The sequence below is a fragment of the Homo sapiens genome, chromosome 4, assembly GCF_000001405.40.
Source record: "Homo sapiens chromosome 4, GRCh38.p14 Primary Assembly".
Taxonomy (NCBI): domain Eukaryota; kingdom Metazoa; phylum Chordata; class Mammalia; order Primates; family Hominidae; genus Homo; species Homo sapiens.
This window is the reverse complement of record NC_000004.12, coordinates 1,258,848-1,276,214: the sequence shown is the minus strand read 5'-3', so window position 1 is coordinate 1,276,214 and position 17,367 is coordinate 1,258,848. Positions and strand designations below refer to the sequence as shown.

Sequence of the window (17,367 nt, the reverse complement as noted above, 5' to 3'; positions counted from 1 at the left end):
TTTTGTTGTTGCTGCCAGTGCTTTTGGAGTCATATCCATGCACTTATTACCAAATCCAACATCATGAAGATTTCCCCCTGTGTTTTCTTCTAACAGTTTATAGTCGTAGCTCTTAAGTTAGGCCTTTCATCCATTTTGAGTTAATTTTGCTTTACGGTGTAAGATAAGGGTCCAACTTCATTATTTCGCACACATATATCCAATTTCCCCATTGCTGTTTGTTGTGAAGATTGTCCTTTCCCTATTAAACGGTCTTGGCACCCTTATCAAAAATCAATTGACCACAATGTGAGGGCTTTTTTCTGAGTTCTTTAGTCCATTGGTTTACATGTCTGTCATTCTGCAGTGCCATACTCTTTGAATTACTGTAACATTGTAGTAAGTTTCAAAGTTGGGAAGTGTGAGTACTCCAATTTTATTCTTTTTTTTTTTTGACAGAGTCTCACTCTGTCACCCAGGCTGGAGTGCAATGGCATGATCTCGGCTCACTGCAAGCTCCGTCTCCCCGGTTCACGCCATCCTCCTGCCTCAGCCTCCCGAGTAGCTGGGACTACAGGCGCCTGCCACCACGCTCGGCTAATTTTTTGTACTTTTTAGTAGAGACGGGGTTTCACCGTGTTAGCCAGGATGGGCTCGATCTCCTGACCTTGTGATACGCCTGCCTTGGTCTCCCAAAGTGCTGGTTTTACAGGCATGAGCCACCGCACCCAGCCTTATTCTTCTTTTTCAACAATGACATAGGGAGTCCTTCAGGTTGAAATGAAAGGACACTAGACAGTAACTTGAAGCCGCATGAAGAAATAAAGGTTTCTGCTAAAGGGTAGTTATAAAAGCTAGTACTGTTGTATTTTTGGTTTGTAACTTCTTTTTTTATTGTCTACACGATTTAAAAAATGCATAAAAATCACTATTAATCTTTGTTATTGGGCAAAAAATGTATAAAGATCTAATTTATGACATCATCAACAGAAGAGGTTCCGGAGCAGGACAGGAGAGATTTGATATGCTCTTGGAGTTAATCAGGCACAAATTCAGACGGCAGTGTTAGAACTTCAGGATATTGTATGTAATGCAATTCTCAACGGTAACCACAAAGAAAATAGCTATAGAATATACACAATAGGAAATGAGAAGCGAATCAAAAATGTCACTGCAAAAAAATTCGCTGAACACTGCAGTAACGGAGGAAATGGGGAACAGAACGGCTCCCAGGCATGTAGAAAACAAGCAGCAGCAGTCAAAGAAAATCCTCCTTATCCGTTCTCCCTTTAAATCAAAGACAGAGATTGGCAGAATGAATTTAAAAGCAGGATTCAACCATGCACTCCTATCTGAGACTCGTGTTAGTTCCATAGACACAGGTTGAAAGAGAAAGGAAGGGAAAAAGATGTTCCGTGCAAACAGTCTCAGAAAGAGAGCAGGTATGGCTATCCCAACATGATACCAAATAGATTTTAAATCGAGAGACATGTGCCCTCCAAGAGACAAAGAAGGACATTATAGATTAACACAACGTTCAGTACAGCAAAAATACAGTAAATACAAGCATTTGCCCGCCGAACAACAGACGCTCAAAATATGAAGGAAAATGCAACAGAATCAAAGGGATAAATAGACAGTTTTACAATAATAGCAGGAGATTTCAAAACCCGACTCTCAATAACAGATGGAACAGAAGATAATTAAGGAAATGGAGGACTTAAAAACATAAACCAGTGAAACCTAATAGACACATCCAGAACCCGTGCCCAATAGCAAACCCCAATGAAACCTGATAGACACATGCAGAACCCTCGCCCAACAGCAAAACCCAGTGAAACCTAATAGACACATCCAGAACCACCGCACAACAGCAAAACCCACTGAAAGCTAACAGACACATACAGAACCCCCACCGAACAACAAAACCCAGTGAAACCTAATAGACACATGCAGAACCCCCACGCAACAACAAAACCCAGTGAAACCTAACAGACACATCCAGAACCCCCACCCAACAGCAAAACCCACTGAACCCTAATAGACACATCCAGAACCCCCACCCAACAGCAAAACCCACTGAAACCTAATAGACACATCCAGAACCCCTACCCAACAGCAAAACCCAATGAAACCTAATAGACATATCCAGAACCCCCACCCAACAGCAAAAACCAGTGAAACCTAATAGACACATGCAGAACCCCCACCCAACAGCAAAACCCAATGAAACCTAATAGACACATCCAGAATCCCCACCCAACAGCAAAACCCACTGAACCCTAATAGACACATCCAGAACCCCCACCCAACAGCAAAACCCACTGAAACCTAATAGACACATCCAGAACCCCCACCCAACAGCAAAACCCAATGAAACCTAATAGACACATCCAGAACCCCCACCCAACAGCAAAAACCAGTGAAACCTAATAGACACATCCAGAACCCCCACCCAACAGCAAAACCCAGTGAAACCTAATAGACACATCCAGAACGCCCACCCAACAGCAAAACCCAGTGAAACCTAATAGACACATCCAGAACCCCCACCCAACAGCAAAACCCACTGAAACCTAATAGACACATCCAGAACCCCCACCCAACAGCAAAACCCAATGAAACCTAATAGACACATCCAGAACCCCCACCCAACAGCAAAACCCAATGAAACCTAATAGACACATCCAGAACCCCCACCCAACAGCAAAACCCACTGAAACCTAATAGACACATCCAGAACCCCCGCCCAACAGCAAAAACCAGTGAAACCTAATAGACACATGCAGAACCCCCACCCAACAGCAAAACCCACTGAAGCCAAATAGACACATCCAGAACCCCCACCCAATAGCAAAACCCAATGAAACCAAATAGACACATCCAGAACCCACACCCTACAGCAAAACCCAATGAAACCTAATAGACACATCCAGAACCCCAGCCCAACAACAAAACCCAGTGAAACCTAATAGACACATCCAGAACCCCCGCCCAACAGTAAAACCCAATGAAACCTAATAGACACATCCAGAACCCCCACCCAACAGCAAACCCCAATGAAACCTAATAGATACATCCAGAATCCCCACCCAACAACAAAACCCAATGAAACCTGATAGACACATCCAGAACTCCCACCCAACAGCAAAACCCAATGAAACCTGATAGACATATGCAGAACCCCCATCCAACAACAAAACCCACTGAAACCTGATAGACACATCCAGAACCCCCACCCAACATCAAAACCCACTGAAACCTAATAGATACATCCAGAATCCCCACCCAACATCAAAACCCACTGAAACCTAATAGACACATCCAGAACCCCCGCCCAACAGCAAAACCCACTGAAACCTAATAGACACATCCAGAATCCCCAAACAACAGCAAAACCCACTGAACCCTAATAGACACATCCAGAACCCCCACCCAACAGCAAAACCCACTGAAACCTAATAGACACATCCAGAACCCCCAACCAAGAGCAAAACCCAATGAAACCTGATAGACACATCCAGAACCCCTGCCCAACAAAACCCAATGAAACCTAATAGACACATGCAGAACCCCTGCCCAACAGCAAAACCCACTGAAACCTAATAGACACATCCAGAACCCCCACCCAACAGCAAAACCCAATGAAACATAATAGACACAAGCAGAACCCCCAACCAAGAGCAAAACCCAATGAAACCTGATAGACACATCCAGAACCCCTGCCCAACAAAACCCAATGAAACCTAATAGACACATGCAGAACCCCTGCCCAACAGCAAAACCCACTGAAACCTAATAGACACATCCAGAATCCCCACCCAACAAAACCCAATGAAACCTAATAGACACATGCAGAACCCCTGCCCAACAGCAAAACCCACTGAAACCTAATAGACACATCCAGAACCCCACCCAACAGCAAAACCCACTGAAACCTAACAGACATACTCAGAGCCCCCACCCAACAGCAAAACCCACTGACACCTAATAGACACATCCAGAACCCCCACCCAACAGCAAAACCCAATGAAACCTAATAGACACATCCAGAACCCCCACCCAACAGTAAAACCCACTGAAACCTAATAGACACATCCAGAACCCCCACCCAACAGCAAACCCAATGATACCTGATAGACACATCCAGAACCTCCGCCCAACAACAAAACCCAAGTGTGCACAGGACATGCTCCAGGATAGACCATATATTAGCCACAAGTTAGGCCTGAGTAGATTAAAAAGGATCGATATCTGTGATGGTTGACACTGAGTGTGAACTTGATTGAAGGATGCAGGGTGTTAATCCTGGGTGTGTCTGTGAGGGTGTTACCAAAGGAGATTAGCGTTTGAGTCAGTGGACTTGGGAAGGCAGACTCACTCTTAATCTGGTGGGCACAATCTAATCAACTGCCAGCAAATATAAGGCAAGCAGAGAAACATGAAAGGTTGAGACTGGCCTAGCCTCACAGCCTACATCTTTCTCTGTGCTGGATGCTTCCTGCCCTCGAACATCAGACTCCAAATTCTCCAGTTTTGGGACTCGAACTGGCTCTCCTTGCTCCTCAGCTTACAGATGGCCTATTGTGGGACCTTGTGATTGTGTAAGTTAATACTTAATAAACTCCCCTAATATAGCCTATTAGTTCTGTCCCTCTAAGAGAACCCTGACTAATACAGTATCATACAAAAGAATCTCTCTGACCATCACAGTATGAGGTTAGAAATCAGTACCAGAAGGAAAATTGAAAAATTTACAAAGTTATGGAAATTATTTTAAATAAGACTCTCTTAAACAACCAGTTGGTCAAAGAAGAAATTGCAAGGGAAATGAGAACATAATTAGAGATACATGAAAATAAAAACACAATATACCAAAATTTAGGGAATGCAGTAAAAGCAACACTCAGAGGGAAGCTGATAGCTATCAATGCCTATGTTAAAAAGAAGAGTACAAAGACTGGGAACCAACCCAAAAGCCCATCAGTTATAGACTGGATAAAGAAAATGTGGCTTGTGGCCGGGCACAGTGGCTCACGCCTGTAATCCCAGCACTTTGGGAGGCCGAGGCGGGTGGATCACGAGGTCAGGAGATCGAGATCATCCTGGCTAACACGGTGAAACCCCATCTCTACTAAAAATACAAAAAAAAAATTAGCTGGGCATGGTGGCGGGCACCTGTAATCTCAGGTACTTGGGAAGCTGAGGCAGAAGAATCACTTGAACCTGGGAGGTGGAGCTTGCAGTGAGCCAACATTGCGCCACTGCACTCCAGCCTGGGCGACAGAGCGAGACTCTGTCTCAAAAAAAAAAAAAAGAAAAGAAAAGAAAAAAAAAGAAAATGTGGCACATATACACCATGGAATACTATGCAGCCATAAAAAAGGATGAGTTCATGTCCTTTACAGGGACATGGATGAAGCTGGAAGCCATAATTCTCAGCAAACTAACACAGGAACAGAAAACCAAACACCGCATGTTCTCACTCATAAGTGAGAGTTGAACAGTGAGAACACATGGACACAGGGAGGGGAACATCACACAGCAGGGCCCATCGGGGGTGGGGAGCAAGGGGAGGGAGAGCATCAGGAGAAATACCTAATGCATGAGGGGCTTAAAACCTAGATGACGGGTTGATCGGTACAGCAAACCACCATGGCACATGTATAGCTATGTAACAAACCTGCACATTCTGCACATGTATCTCAGAACATAAAGTAAAATAAAAATAAAAATTTAAATTTAAAAAAAGAAACAATAACAACAACAAAAAAGAAGAATGATCTCAAATTAATAACCTAACTTACATCTTAAGGAACTAGAAAAAGAAGAGCAAACTAAACCCAAAGCTAGCAGAAGCAGGGAAATAATAATTAGCAGAAGCAAGAAAATAATAGAGAAGAGATAGAGAAAATACAGGCCAGGTGTGGTGGCTCATACCTGTAATTCCAGCACTTTGGGAAGCCAAGGTGGGAGGATCGCTTGAGCCCAAGGAGTTTGAGATCAGCCTAGCCAACATGGTGAAACAGGGTGTGGTGGCATGTGCCTATAGTCCCAGCTACTTGGGAGACTGGAGGTGGGAGGATCACTTGAGCCTGGGAGGTCGAGGCTGTAGTGAGCCATGATTGCACCACTGCACTGAGGCCTGGGTGACAGAGAGAGACCCTGTCTCAAAAAAAGAAAAAAAATAGAGGAAATTAATAAAACCAAAAGTTGATTTTTTAAAAAATATCAATACAATTGATAAACCTTTGCGTAGACTGACAAAGAACAAAAAGAGAAGACACAAATAAAAACCAGAAGTGAAACCAGATGTGAAAATGGCCTTATAGAAATAAAAAGGATTATTAGAGAATATGTCAACAATTGTATTCTAACAAATTAGATAACATAGGAGAAATGAACAAATTCCTTAAAACACACATTAACCTAAATGGACTCAAGAAAAAGTAAAAAATCCCAACAGACCTATAACATGTAAAGAGATTAAATCAGTGATTTGTTTTAAATTACTCATTAACCTTCCAGCACAGAAAAGTCCTGGGCCATATGGCTTCACAGGTTAGTTCAACTAAACATTTAAAGGAAAATTAATACCAGTTCTTCTCAAATGTTTCCAAATAGTTGAACAGGAGGAACACTTCCTAACTCATTCTATGCAGCCAGCATTACCCTAATACTGAAACAAGATAAAGACATTCATGGAAAAGAAAAGTACAGACCAATACCACTTACAAATACAGATGCAAAATCCTCAGCAAAATATTAGCAGATTGAATGCAACAGCATCTTAAAAGGATTGTTCATCTACTCATCATGACCAAGTTAAATTTATCTAGGAATGCAAGGATGGTTCAACATGAGAAAATCAATCAATGTAATACACCACATTAATAGAATTAAGGGAAAAAAATCCACATAATTATCTCAATTTACACAGAAAAAGTATTTGACAAAATCTAATACCTTCCATGATTTAAGAAAGAAAAGCTCAGAAAACTAAGAATGGAAACAAAATTTCTCAACATGATAAAGGGTATTATGAGAAACCCATAGCTGGGCAGGCATGGTGGCTCATGCCTGTAATCCCAGCACTTTGGGAAGCTGAGTTGGGATGAACACTTGAGCCGAGGAGTTCAAGACCAGACTGGGCAACATAGTGAAGGCTCGTCTCTCAACAAAAAAATATTTAAAAATTTGCTGGGCATGGCAGTACACACCTGTGGTCCCAGCTACTTGGGAGGCTGAGGTGGGAAGATCACTTGAGACCAAGAGGTGGAGGTAGCAATGAGCCAAGATTGTGCCATTGCACTCCAGCTGGGACTACGAGCAAGATTCTGTCTCCAAAAACAAAAACAAAACATGGCTGTGGGTGGTGGCTCATGCCTGTAATCCCAGCACTTTGGGAGGCTGAGGCAGGCGGATCACCTGAGGTCAGGAGTTCGAGACCAGCCTGACCAACATGGAGAAGCTCAGTCTCTACTAAAAATACAAAAAATTAGCCGGGTGTGGTGGTGCATGCCTGTAATCCCAGCTACTTGGGAGGCTGAGGCAGGAGAATCGCTTGAACTCAGGAGGCGGAGGTTGCAGTAAGCCGAGATCGCACCCATTGCACTCCAGCCTGGGCTACAAGAGTGAAACTCCGTCTCAAACACACACACACACACACACACAGAGCTAACATCATACTCAGTTGTGAAAGACTGAAAGCTTTTCCCCTAAGGTCAGGAACAAGGCTCTCACCACTACTATTCAACAGCATACTGGAAGTTGTACCAATGCTATAGACTATGGGCGGCAAGCCACCCAGGTGCCGAGGCAAGAGACCAAGGGCACGAGCTGTTCCAGTGTAATAAAATACATAAATAACAAAAGTTATACTAAATATAGATCATAGATATAATTATATATGAATATCATTAATCATTAGTTTGTAGCAATTACTCTTTATTCCAATATTATAATAATCCTTGCTCTACAATTACAACCTAGGAAAAACCAGGCCATACAGAGATAGGAGCTGAAGGGGCACGGTGAGAAGTGACCAGAAGAGTATGAGCCCTCTGTCACTCCCAGACAGGGCCACTAGAGGGCTCCTTGGTCTAGCGGTAACGCCAGCATCTGGGAAGATGCCCATTACCAAGCAGACCATGGTCTAGCTGTAGCATCAGTGCCAAGGAAAAGCACCCGCTACTTAGCAGACTGGGAAAGGGAGTCTCCCTTTTCCCAGGGGAGTTTAGAGAAGACTCTGTTCCACCACCTCTTGTGGAGGGCCTGACATCAGTTAGGCCCGCCCGCAGTTATCTGGAGGCCTAACCATCTCCCTGTGATGCTGTGCTTCAGCGGTCACGCTCCTGTTTCACTTTCATGTTCCACTCTGTACACCTGGCTCCGCCCTCTAGACAGCAGTAGCAAAATTAGTGAAAGTATTAAAGTCTTTGATCTTTCTAAAAAGAGCATAGAAAAAATAATGACCTAAGCTGTCCTCTCTCTCTCCGCTTTGGCTACCTAACAGGGAAGGGCCCCCTGTCCAGTGGACACATGACTCACATGACCTTATCAATCATTGGCGATGACACACTCTTTACTCTTTTGCTTTGTATCCAATAAATAACAGCACAGCCAGGCATTCGGGGCCACTACCGGTCTCCACGTCTTGGTGGTAGTGGTCCCCCGAGCCCAGCTGTCTTTTCTTCTATCTTTTTGTCTTGTGTCTTTATTTCTACAATCTCTTGTCTCCACACATGGGGAGAAAAACCCACAGACCCTGTAGGGCTGGCCCCTACATAGACAAAAAAAGAAATGAAAAACACCCAAATGGATGGGAAGTGGTAAAACGATCTCTATTTGAAGATGACATAATCCTACATATAGAAAATCCAAAAGAACCCACAAGAAGGTACAATAGCTCATAAACAAATTCAGCAAAGTTACAAGATCAACACATCAAGACCAACACGCAAAATTCATTTGTTTCTGTGCATCAGTATTGAACAATTCAAACAGGAAATTAAGTAAACAATGCCATTTACAACAAGATCTAAAAGAATTAAATACTCAGAAATAAGTCTAACCAAGGAGGTGAAAGACTCGTATGCTGAAAATAGAAAAGATTGCTAAAAGAAATTAAAGAACACCTAAATAAATGGAAAGACATCCCATATTCATGGATAGGAAGACTTAATATTGTTAAGATGTCAATACTACCCAAAGTGATCTACAGATTCAACACAATGCCTATCAAAATTCCAACAGCCCTGTTCAAAGAAATAAAAGTAGATTCTCAAGTGTATATGGAATTGCAAGGGACTCCCAACAGCTTAAATATGAGGAATTTAAGGCCTTTTAAACAACAGGAATATTTATTTAAGATCATGCCTAAGTCTTCTCAGGGAATCTTCTGGAGAGGGAACTTTCCAGGGACGCCTTGGATCCTCATGATGTTGGTGCTTGGTGTGGTCTGGGAGGGCCTAAGTGTTCTCAGGGAATCTTCTGGAGATGGAACTTTCCAGAGATGCCTTGGATCCTTCTTCTGGAGAAGGAACTTTCCAGGGATGCCTTGGATCCTTATGACGTTGGTTCTTCATGTGGTCTGGGAGGGCCTAAGTGTTCTCAGGGTATCTTCTGGAGATAGAACTTTCCAGAGATTCCTTGGATCCTCATGATGTTGGTGCTTGGTGTGGTCCAGGAGGTCACTAGAAGGGAAGTGGTCCTTCTATTCTCATCCTCTTGATTTTTAGATTATGTCTTGTCAACATTAACAGATGTGACTGAAAAGGCAACTTTACTCAGAATTCTGTGCAAATGTCACAGAAGCTATCACTTTATCGTGAAGGATGTAAATTCAGGGTTTTTCATTGTTGTTGGTGGTGGGGTGTGTGTGTGTGTGTGTATAGGTGTGTTTAGAATCAGGGTCTTGCTCTGTTGCCCGGGCTGGAGTGCTGTGATGCACTCTTAGCTCACTATAACTTTGAACTCCTGGGCTCAAGTGATCCTCCTACCTCAGCCTCCCTAGTAGCTAAGACTATAGGCATGCCCACTACACCAGGCTAATTTTTAAAATTTTTTTTTTAGAGGCAAGGTCTCGTTATGTTCCCCAGGCTGGTCTTGGACTCCTGGCCTCAAGTGATCCTCTATCTCAGCCTCCCAAAGTGCTGGAATTACAGGCATGAGCTATGATGCCTGGCTGCAAATTCAGTTTGATCCCAATGCAGTGTGTTGGGGAACAGAAGACTCAGAGGACTAATGAGGAGTCCAGTATGTAGGATATTGGACCCCCAGGCCCTTTATGGGCCACCATTCCATGTGTGCATAAAATGACAACTTACCATGTTGAAATGTTTTACCGTTACTGCCAAGTGAAGTCTTCACTTTTCAAGATCTCGAGGGAAAGGGACCGGATGTATTTATGTAGCAGGGAGTTCTGGGAAGCATTGGTCCTGGGAGCTATGGCAGGACCAGCAATGACACCACGTGGTGCTCTGTGAGGCCCTGAGGAGAATCCCCTGCTGGTGGGTGGGGGTGGGGGTCGGGGGCTGGGTCTCAGCTCAAGGCCTCCCATTATGCGCGTTCTCCACACGGAAACCTGGCCTCTGTGGTGCAGCTCCTCTGCACAGCTCAGATCTTCGGTGCCACGTCACGGGATCCACAGGTACCCCGGAACCCTGGCCGCAGCTGGACACCTTTAACCTTGGGTGTGGAGGCTTCCTGTGGAGTGGCCAGGTCATCACGCTCAGGGAAGCCTTCCACCACTGGCAGCAGTCTCTGGTCATGTCTGAGACCTGCTATGTCCTATAATTTCTTCTGGCCCCACATGGTCCCCTGTCTGGCAGTGCCCACGTCTTGGCCACCCTGATGCTGGTGGTTCTGGAACTTTCCAGAGGGTTCCAGCTGGTTCTGTTTTAAGGATAGAAACCATCAAAGAACAAAATTTCAGCAAATTGAGTTTTGAGATGGAGTCTTGCTAGGTTGCCAGGGCTCTGGGCTTAAGCGATCCTCCCACCTCAGCCTCCTGAGTAGCTGGGACTACAGGTGTGCACCACACACCCAGCTTAATTGTCTTTTATTAGTAATTCATGAACTGGGCAGCACCCAGCCTGCAAAACAGACAGGAGCTCCTTTGGGCATGGCAGCTGACCAGCCATGACAAGGCAGCTTCAGTAGCAAGGACCATCACAGCACAAGCAGCCCGGCTCTCCTGAGGCTATTTTCCTTGTATGGATTGACTTCCTGATTATGCCGGCTTGGGTTGACTGGGCCCCTTTTGATTGGTTGCCATGAATCTTCTGGTTTTTGGAAAACTGGCCCATTTGGGGATTTCTCGTGGTGTTTTTTGTTTGTTTGTTTGTTTGAGACAGGTTGTTGCTCTGTCACGCAGGCTTCAGGGCAATGGCTCAGTCATGGCTCACGGCAGCCTCCATCTCCTGGGCTCAATGGATCCTCCCACTCCAGCCTCCTGAGTAGCAGGGACCACAGGCGTGTGCCACCACCCTCAGCTAATTTTTTGATTTTTTGTAGAGATGAGATCTCACTGTGTTGTCCAGGCTGGTCTTGAGCTCAAGTGATCCTCCTGCTTTGGCCTCTCAAAGTGCTGGGATTACAGGTGTGAGCCACCATGCCTGGCCTCCTGTGGTTCTTTTTAAAGTTCCAGTTTGATTATGTGCCACGTAGCACGTTTTAGTTTGGTCTGTTGGGGTCTAGTGCAGGAGCTCAGCCCAAATTCAGCTCCCCAGACATTTTATTTAATAGAAGTGGGAGGGTTGGCTGGGCGTGGTGGCTCATGCCTGTAATCCCAGCACTTTGGGAGGCCAAGGCAGACAGATCACTTGAGGTCAGGAGTTCAAGACCAGCCTGGCCAACATGGTGAAACCCCGTCTCTACTAAAAATACAAAACTTAGCCATGTGTGGTGGTGCGTGCCTGTAGTCCCAGCTACTTGGGAGGCTGAGGTAGGAGAATCGCTTGAACTCAGGAGGCGGAGGTTGCAGTGAGCCGAGATCGTGCCATTGTGCTCCAGCCTGGGCAACAAGAGTGAAACTTTACCTCAAAAAAAAAGAAAAAAAACCCACAGATAAGCTCATTCTAAAGTTTGTATGGAAACGCAAAGGAACCAGGATAGCTAAAACAATTTGAAAAAGAATAAAATGGGCCAAGTCCAATGGTTCATGCCTGTAATCCCAGCACTTTGGGAGGCCAAGGTGAGAGGATTGCTTAAGGCCAGTAGTTTCAGACCAGCCTAGGCAACATAGTGACAGTCTGTCTCTACAAAAATAAATTTTAAAAAATTAGGCAGGCATGGTGGTCCACGCCTGTAGTCCTAGGTAGTTGGGAGGCTGAGATGGGAGGATCACTTAAGCCCAGGAGTTTGAGGCTGTGGTGAGCTATGATCGTGCCACTGCACTCCAGCCTGGGTGGCAGAGCAAGACCTTGTCTCTAAAAAATAAAAATAAGAGGCTGGGTGTGGTGGCTCATGCCTGTAATCCCAGCACTTTGAGAGGCCGAGGTGGGCAGATCACAAGGTCAAGAGATTGAGACCATCCTGGCCAACATGGTGAAATCCCGTCTCTACTAAAAATACAAAAAATTAGCTGGGCGTGGTGGTGCACGCCTGTAATCTCAGCTACTCAGGAGGCTGAGGCAGGAGAATTGTTTGAATCTGGGAGGCGGAGGTTGTAGTGAGCTGAGATCGCGCCACAGTACTCCAGCCTGGTGACAGAGTGAGACTCTGCCTAAAAAAAATAAATAAATAAATAGGTAAATAAATAAGAATAAAATGGGAGAAATCAGTATGTCCCATTTCAAGACTTACTCTATATATAACCATAGTAATGAAGGTTATGTGGTATTCATGGAGGAAAAGGCACATTGATCAATGTTACAGAATAGAGTGCCCAGAAGTCGACCCATGCTAGTACAACTAACTGGGTTTTGACAAAGGTGAAAACTTAATCTAATGGAGAGGATAGTCTTTTCAGCAAATGGTCCTGGCGCAATTGGACACCTGTATGCAAAAAACAAACAAACAAACAAAAACACCCAAACAAAAAGCAAAAACACCTTGATTTAAACATCACTTCTTCAACAAAAATTAGCTCAAACTGATCATCGTATAGGTTTAAATGTAAAATTATAAAACTTTTAGAAGGAGACATAGGAGAAAATCTTTAGGACTTAGGGTTTGGCTGAGAGATATTAGACATGACCCTGAAAGTACAACCTATAAAATAAAATGTTTGGTAAATTGGACTTTAGCAAAGTTAAAAACATTTGCTCTGTACAAATCCTGGTAGGAGGATGAAAAAACAAGTTTCATGTTAGGAGAGCATATCTGCAAACCACACATCTGATAAAGGACTTATATCTAGAATATATATACTCAAAACAAACTCAACAGCAAAAAAACCACACCACCCAAATAGTAAATGGGCAAAAGACAAGAAGAATTTTACCAAAGAGAATACAGTCGTCGCTCGGTATCCACGGGCTCTGCATCTGTGGATTCTACCAACCACGGATCCAAAATATTTGAAAAAAAAAATTGTGTTTGTTTTGAACATGTATAGACTCTTTTCTTGTTATTATTCTCTAAACAATACAGCATAACAACTGTTTACATCGCATTTACATTGCATTCAGTATTATAAATAATCTAAGGTGGTTTAAAGTACACGGGCGAATACTTTGTTATGTGCAAATGCTGTGCCATTTTACATCACGGACTTGAGCATCCGGGGATTTTGGTATCTGAGGAGCGCCCTGAAGCCAATCCGCATGGATACTGAGAGACAGCTGGATACAGATGGCAAATAAGCGCATGAAAAGACATCCAACGGTGCTAGTCACGCGGGAAATGCAAAGGAAAGCCCGAATGAGAGAGATCACTACCTACCTATTAGAACAGCTAAAACGGATAACATTAAAAATAGTGACAACACCAAACGTTGGCAAGAACGCAGAGCTCTCACATATCACTGGTGAGAAGGTGAGCTGGTCCAGCCACGCTGGCGAGACAGTCTGACGGGTCCTTAAAAAGTGAAACATACGCTTACTTCACAACCCAGCAATCACACAGCTGGACACTTGTTCCAGAGAATCAAAAACTTACATTCACATAAAAACCTACGTGCAAATGTTTGCAGATTTCTTTGAAATAACAAAAAACGAAAACATCCGGAAACAACGGAAACATCCCTGAAAAGATGCACGGATGAAGAAACGATCCCATCCCCCATCCTCCACGAGCGACACCCCGGCGTCCTGGTGTGAGAAGAGGAAGGGGTCGCCCATATCCCCCTCCTCAGACCTGCGCCCAAGGTCCCTGCACCCAATTCCCTGCTCAAACAGCCCCTCCTCCTGGTCCTCACGTTCCCCACCCCGGGGATCACGCCCTGACACTGTGGTTCACTGGATGTGCACCCGTCCACATCGGCTCCAAGCCGCTTCTCCCCAGGCAGGTCCGCGTTGCCCGAACTCTGCCCTGCCAGCCCCATTGTCTCTACTGCAGACCCTACTCATCCCTCCTCCTGCCAGGTTCCCCTTAGGTTCACTCACCTCCCTGGAAGGCACGCTCTGACCCAGGCCACGCTTCTCTGACCCCTCTCCTTGCCTTACCCACTGTTGCTCTTAGCTCCTGTGACTTCAAGTGCTGCCTCTGGGCCCCAGGCTCATCGGCCATCCACCTCCACCGGGGGGTTCCATGGATGTGTCCTGTTCCCCAGGTCTCCTCAGAAACCCCGTCCTCCCTGGAGCTTAGGTAGGACCGCAGCCCAGAGTCAGTGCAAGCCACCCGCCACCCCAGGCTTCTTCCTCACCGTTTCTCAGCCCTACCGCTGGAAAGCAGCCCTTCCCCCATGACCATGAACGCCACTGTGTCTCCCTGCCTTGCTCCTTCAATCCCCCTGAGAGCAGCCAGAGTGACCCTTATGAAGACAAACCCAAAATCTCTCCCTGCCCCCAAGTCCTTCCACCCTTCTCATGGCCCACAGAGCACAGCTCCCATCCTGGCCACCTCTATCCAGCTTCCCCACCTGCTACACTCCTCCTGCCTCACCCAGCCCCGGGGATTGCTTTCCAGGGACACCGTTGGTGTTCCTCATGTCTGCTGATCCCAGGCCTGTGGCACTTAGGAACCCAACAGTGTGATGCACCTGCCGCAAGGCCTGGCAGGAGTCCAAAGGCCCAGGGTAGGCTCGGGACCCAGAGGATGGGGCAAAGTGGGCAGGACTGGAGCCATCACCCCTAGGTCTAAACCCAAACATTGCCAGACACTAGCTCTGGGGTCCCAGGCCACAAATGGTTACACAGAAGTCCCTGTGCGCCGTCCCCTTGGCTCCTGTACCCTGTATTGTAGCAGCGCTGTCTCACCAGTCTGCTTGGAGTTTGACACGAGTCTAGCCGGGTGAGAAGCGCGTAGGGCAGCGGCGAGCAGTCTGTGCTGTGTTAGCTGGTGGTTCAGCAGAGTTGGACAGTGAGTCTAGCTGGGTGAGAGGCGTGTAGGGCAGCGGCGGGCAGCCTGTGCTGTGTTAGCTGGTGGTTCAGCAGAGTTGGATGCGAGTCTAGCTGGGTGAGAGGCGTGTAGGGCAGCGGCGGGCAGCCTGTGCTGTGTTAGCTCGGGTTTCAGCAGAGTTGGACACGTAGTTGGGTAAGAGGCATGTAGGGCGGGCAGTCTGTGCTGTGTTAGCTCACTGTTCAGCAGAGTTGGATGCGTAGTTGGGTGAGAGGAGTGTAGGGCAGCGGCGGGCAGCAACACAATAAACCAACTAGATCTAACACACATCCAGACATTCTACCAAGAACAATAGCAGCATATACATCCTTCTCAAATAAGCATGAGTCATTTTCCAGGATACACCATCTGTTAGGCCACAAATTAGGTCTCAATCAATTTTAAAATGTAGGTATCATACAAACTCTTCTCCAACCACAATAGGATAACGTTAGAAATCAATAACAGAAGTAAAACTGAAAAATCCACAAATTTCTGGAAGTTAAACAACACACTCTTAAACAACCAACAGTCCAGAGAAGAAATCACAAGGGAAAAAGAAAATACTTAGAATGAAAACGAAAACGCAGCAGACCAGCACTTACAGGATGCTGCAAAAGCAGTGCCACAGGGGAAGTTCATAGTTATAAATGCTTACACTAAAAAACTAGCAAGATCTCAAACCCGCAACCTAACTTTACAACTTAAGGAGCTAGAAAAAGAAGAATAAACTAAACCCAAAGCTAGCAGAAGAAAAGAAATACTGAAGGTTAGAGAAGAGATAAATGAAATAAAGAATTGAAAAACAATAGAGAAAAACCAGTAAAACCAAAAGTTAGTTCTTTGAAAGATCAACAAAATTAACAAGCCTTTCACTAGATGGACTAAGAAAATAGAGGGAAAACTCCAGTTACTAAATCAGAAATGAAAGTGGGCACATTACTACTGACTCTATAGAAATAAAAAAAAATTGTAAGAGAGTACTATGAACAATTGTATGCCAACACATTGGATAACATGGATGAAATAAACAAATTCCTAGAGACACAAAATCTACTGAGAAACAAATCAGGAATAAATAGAAAGTCTTAACAGAATTATAACTAATGTGGAGATTGAATCAGTAATGAAAAATCTGACAAAGAAAAGCCCTGGACTTGATGGCTTCACTGGCAAATTCTCCCAAATATTGGATGAAGAATACCGATTCTTCTCAAACGCTTCAGAAAAACTGAAGGCGAAGGACTACTTCCTAACTATTCTATGAGGCCAACATTATCCTGATGCCAAAGCCAGACGAAGACACTATGAGAAAAGAAAACTGGGCTAAGTGTGGCAAATCACACCTGTAATCCAAGTACTTTGGGAGGCTGAGGCAGGAGGATCACTTGAAACCAGGAGTTCAAGACCAGCCTGGGCAACATATTGAGACCCCATCTCTACAAAAGAATAAAATAGGCTGGTGTGGTGGTGCATGCCTGTAGTCCTAGCTACTTGGGAGGCTAAGGTGGGAAGATCACTTGAGCCCGGGAGTTCCAGGCTGCAATGAGCCATGATCGCACCACTGCACTCCAGCCTAGGCAGCAGAGCAAGACCCTGTCTCTAAAAAAAAAAAAAAAAAAAAATTTAAAGAAAGAAAACTACAGACCAGGGCCAGACACAGTGGCTCATGCCTGCAGCCCCAGCACTGTGGGAGGCTGAGGTGGAAGCTCAGGAGTTCAAGAACAGCCTGGGAAACATGGGGAAGCCCCATCTTTACATAAAATACAAAAATTAGCTGGGCATGGTGGCATGTGCCTGTAGTCCCAGCTACTCAGGAAACTGAGGTAGGAGAATGGCTTGAGCCAGGAGGTATAGGCTGCAGTAAGCCAAGATTGCATTACTGCACTCCAGCCTGGGCAACAG

At 45.1% G+C, this 17,367-nt stretch overlaps 1 annotated feature.

The window, feature by feature from the left end:
• Positions 8,257-8,386: an enhancer, noted in NCBI's record as "active region_21152". NCBI's record gives its function as "activates an Ori minimal core promoter by ATAC-STARR-seq in GM12878 lymphoblastoid cells {active_cell/tissue: GM12878}" and the evidence as "EXISTENCE:reporter gene assay evidence [ECO:0000049][PMID:35858748]".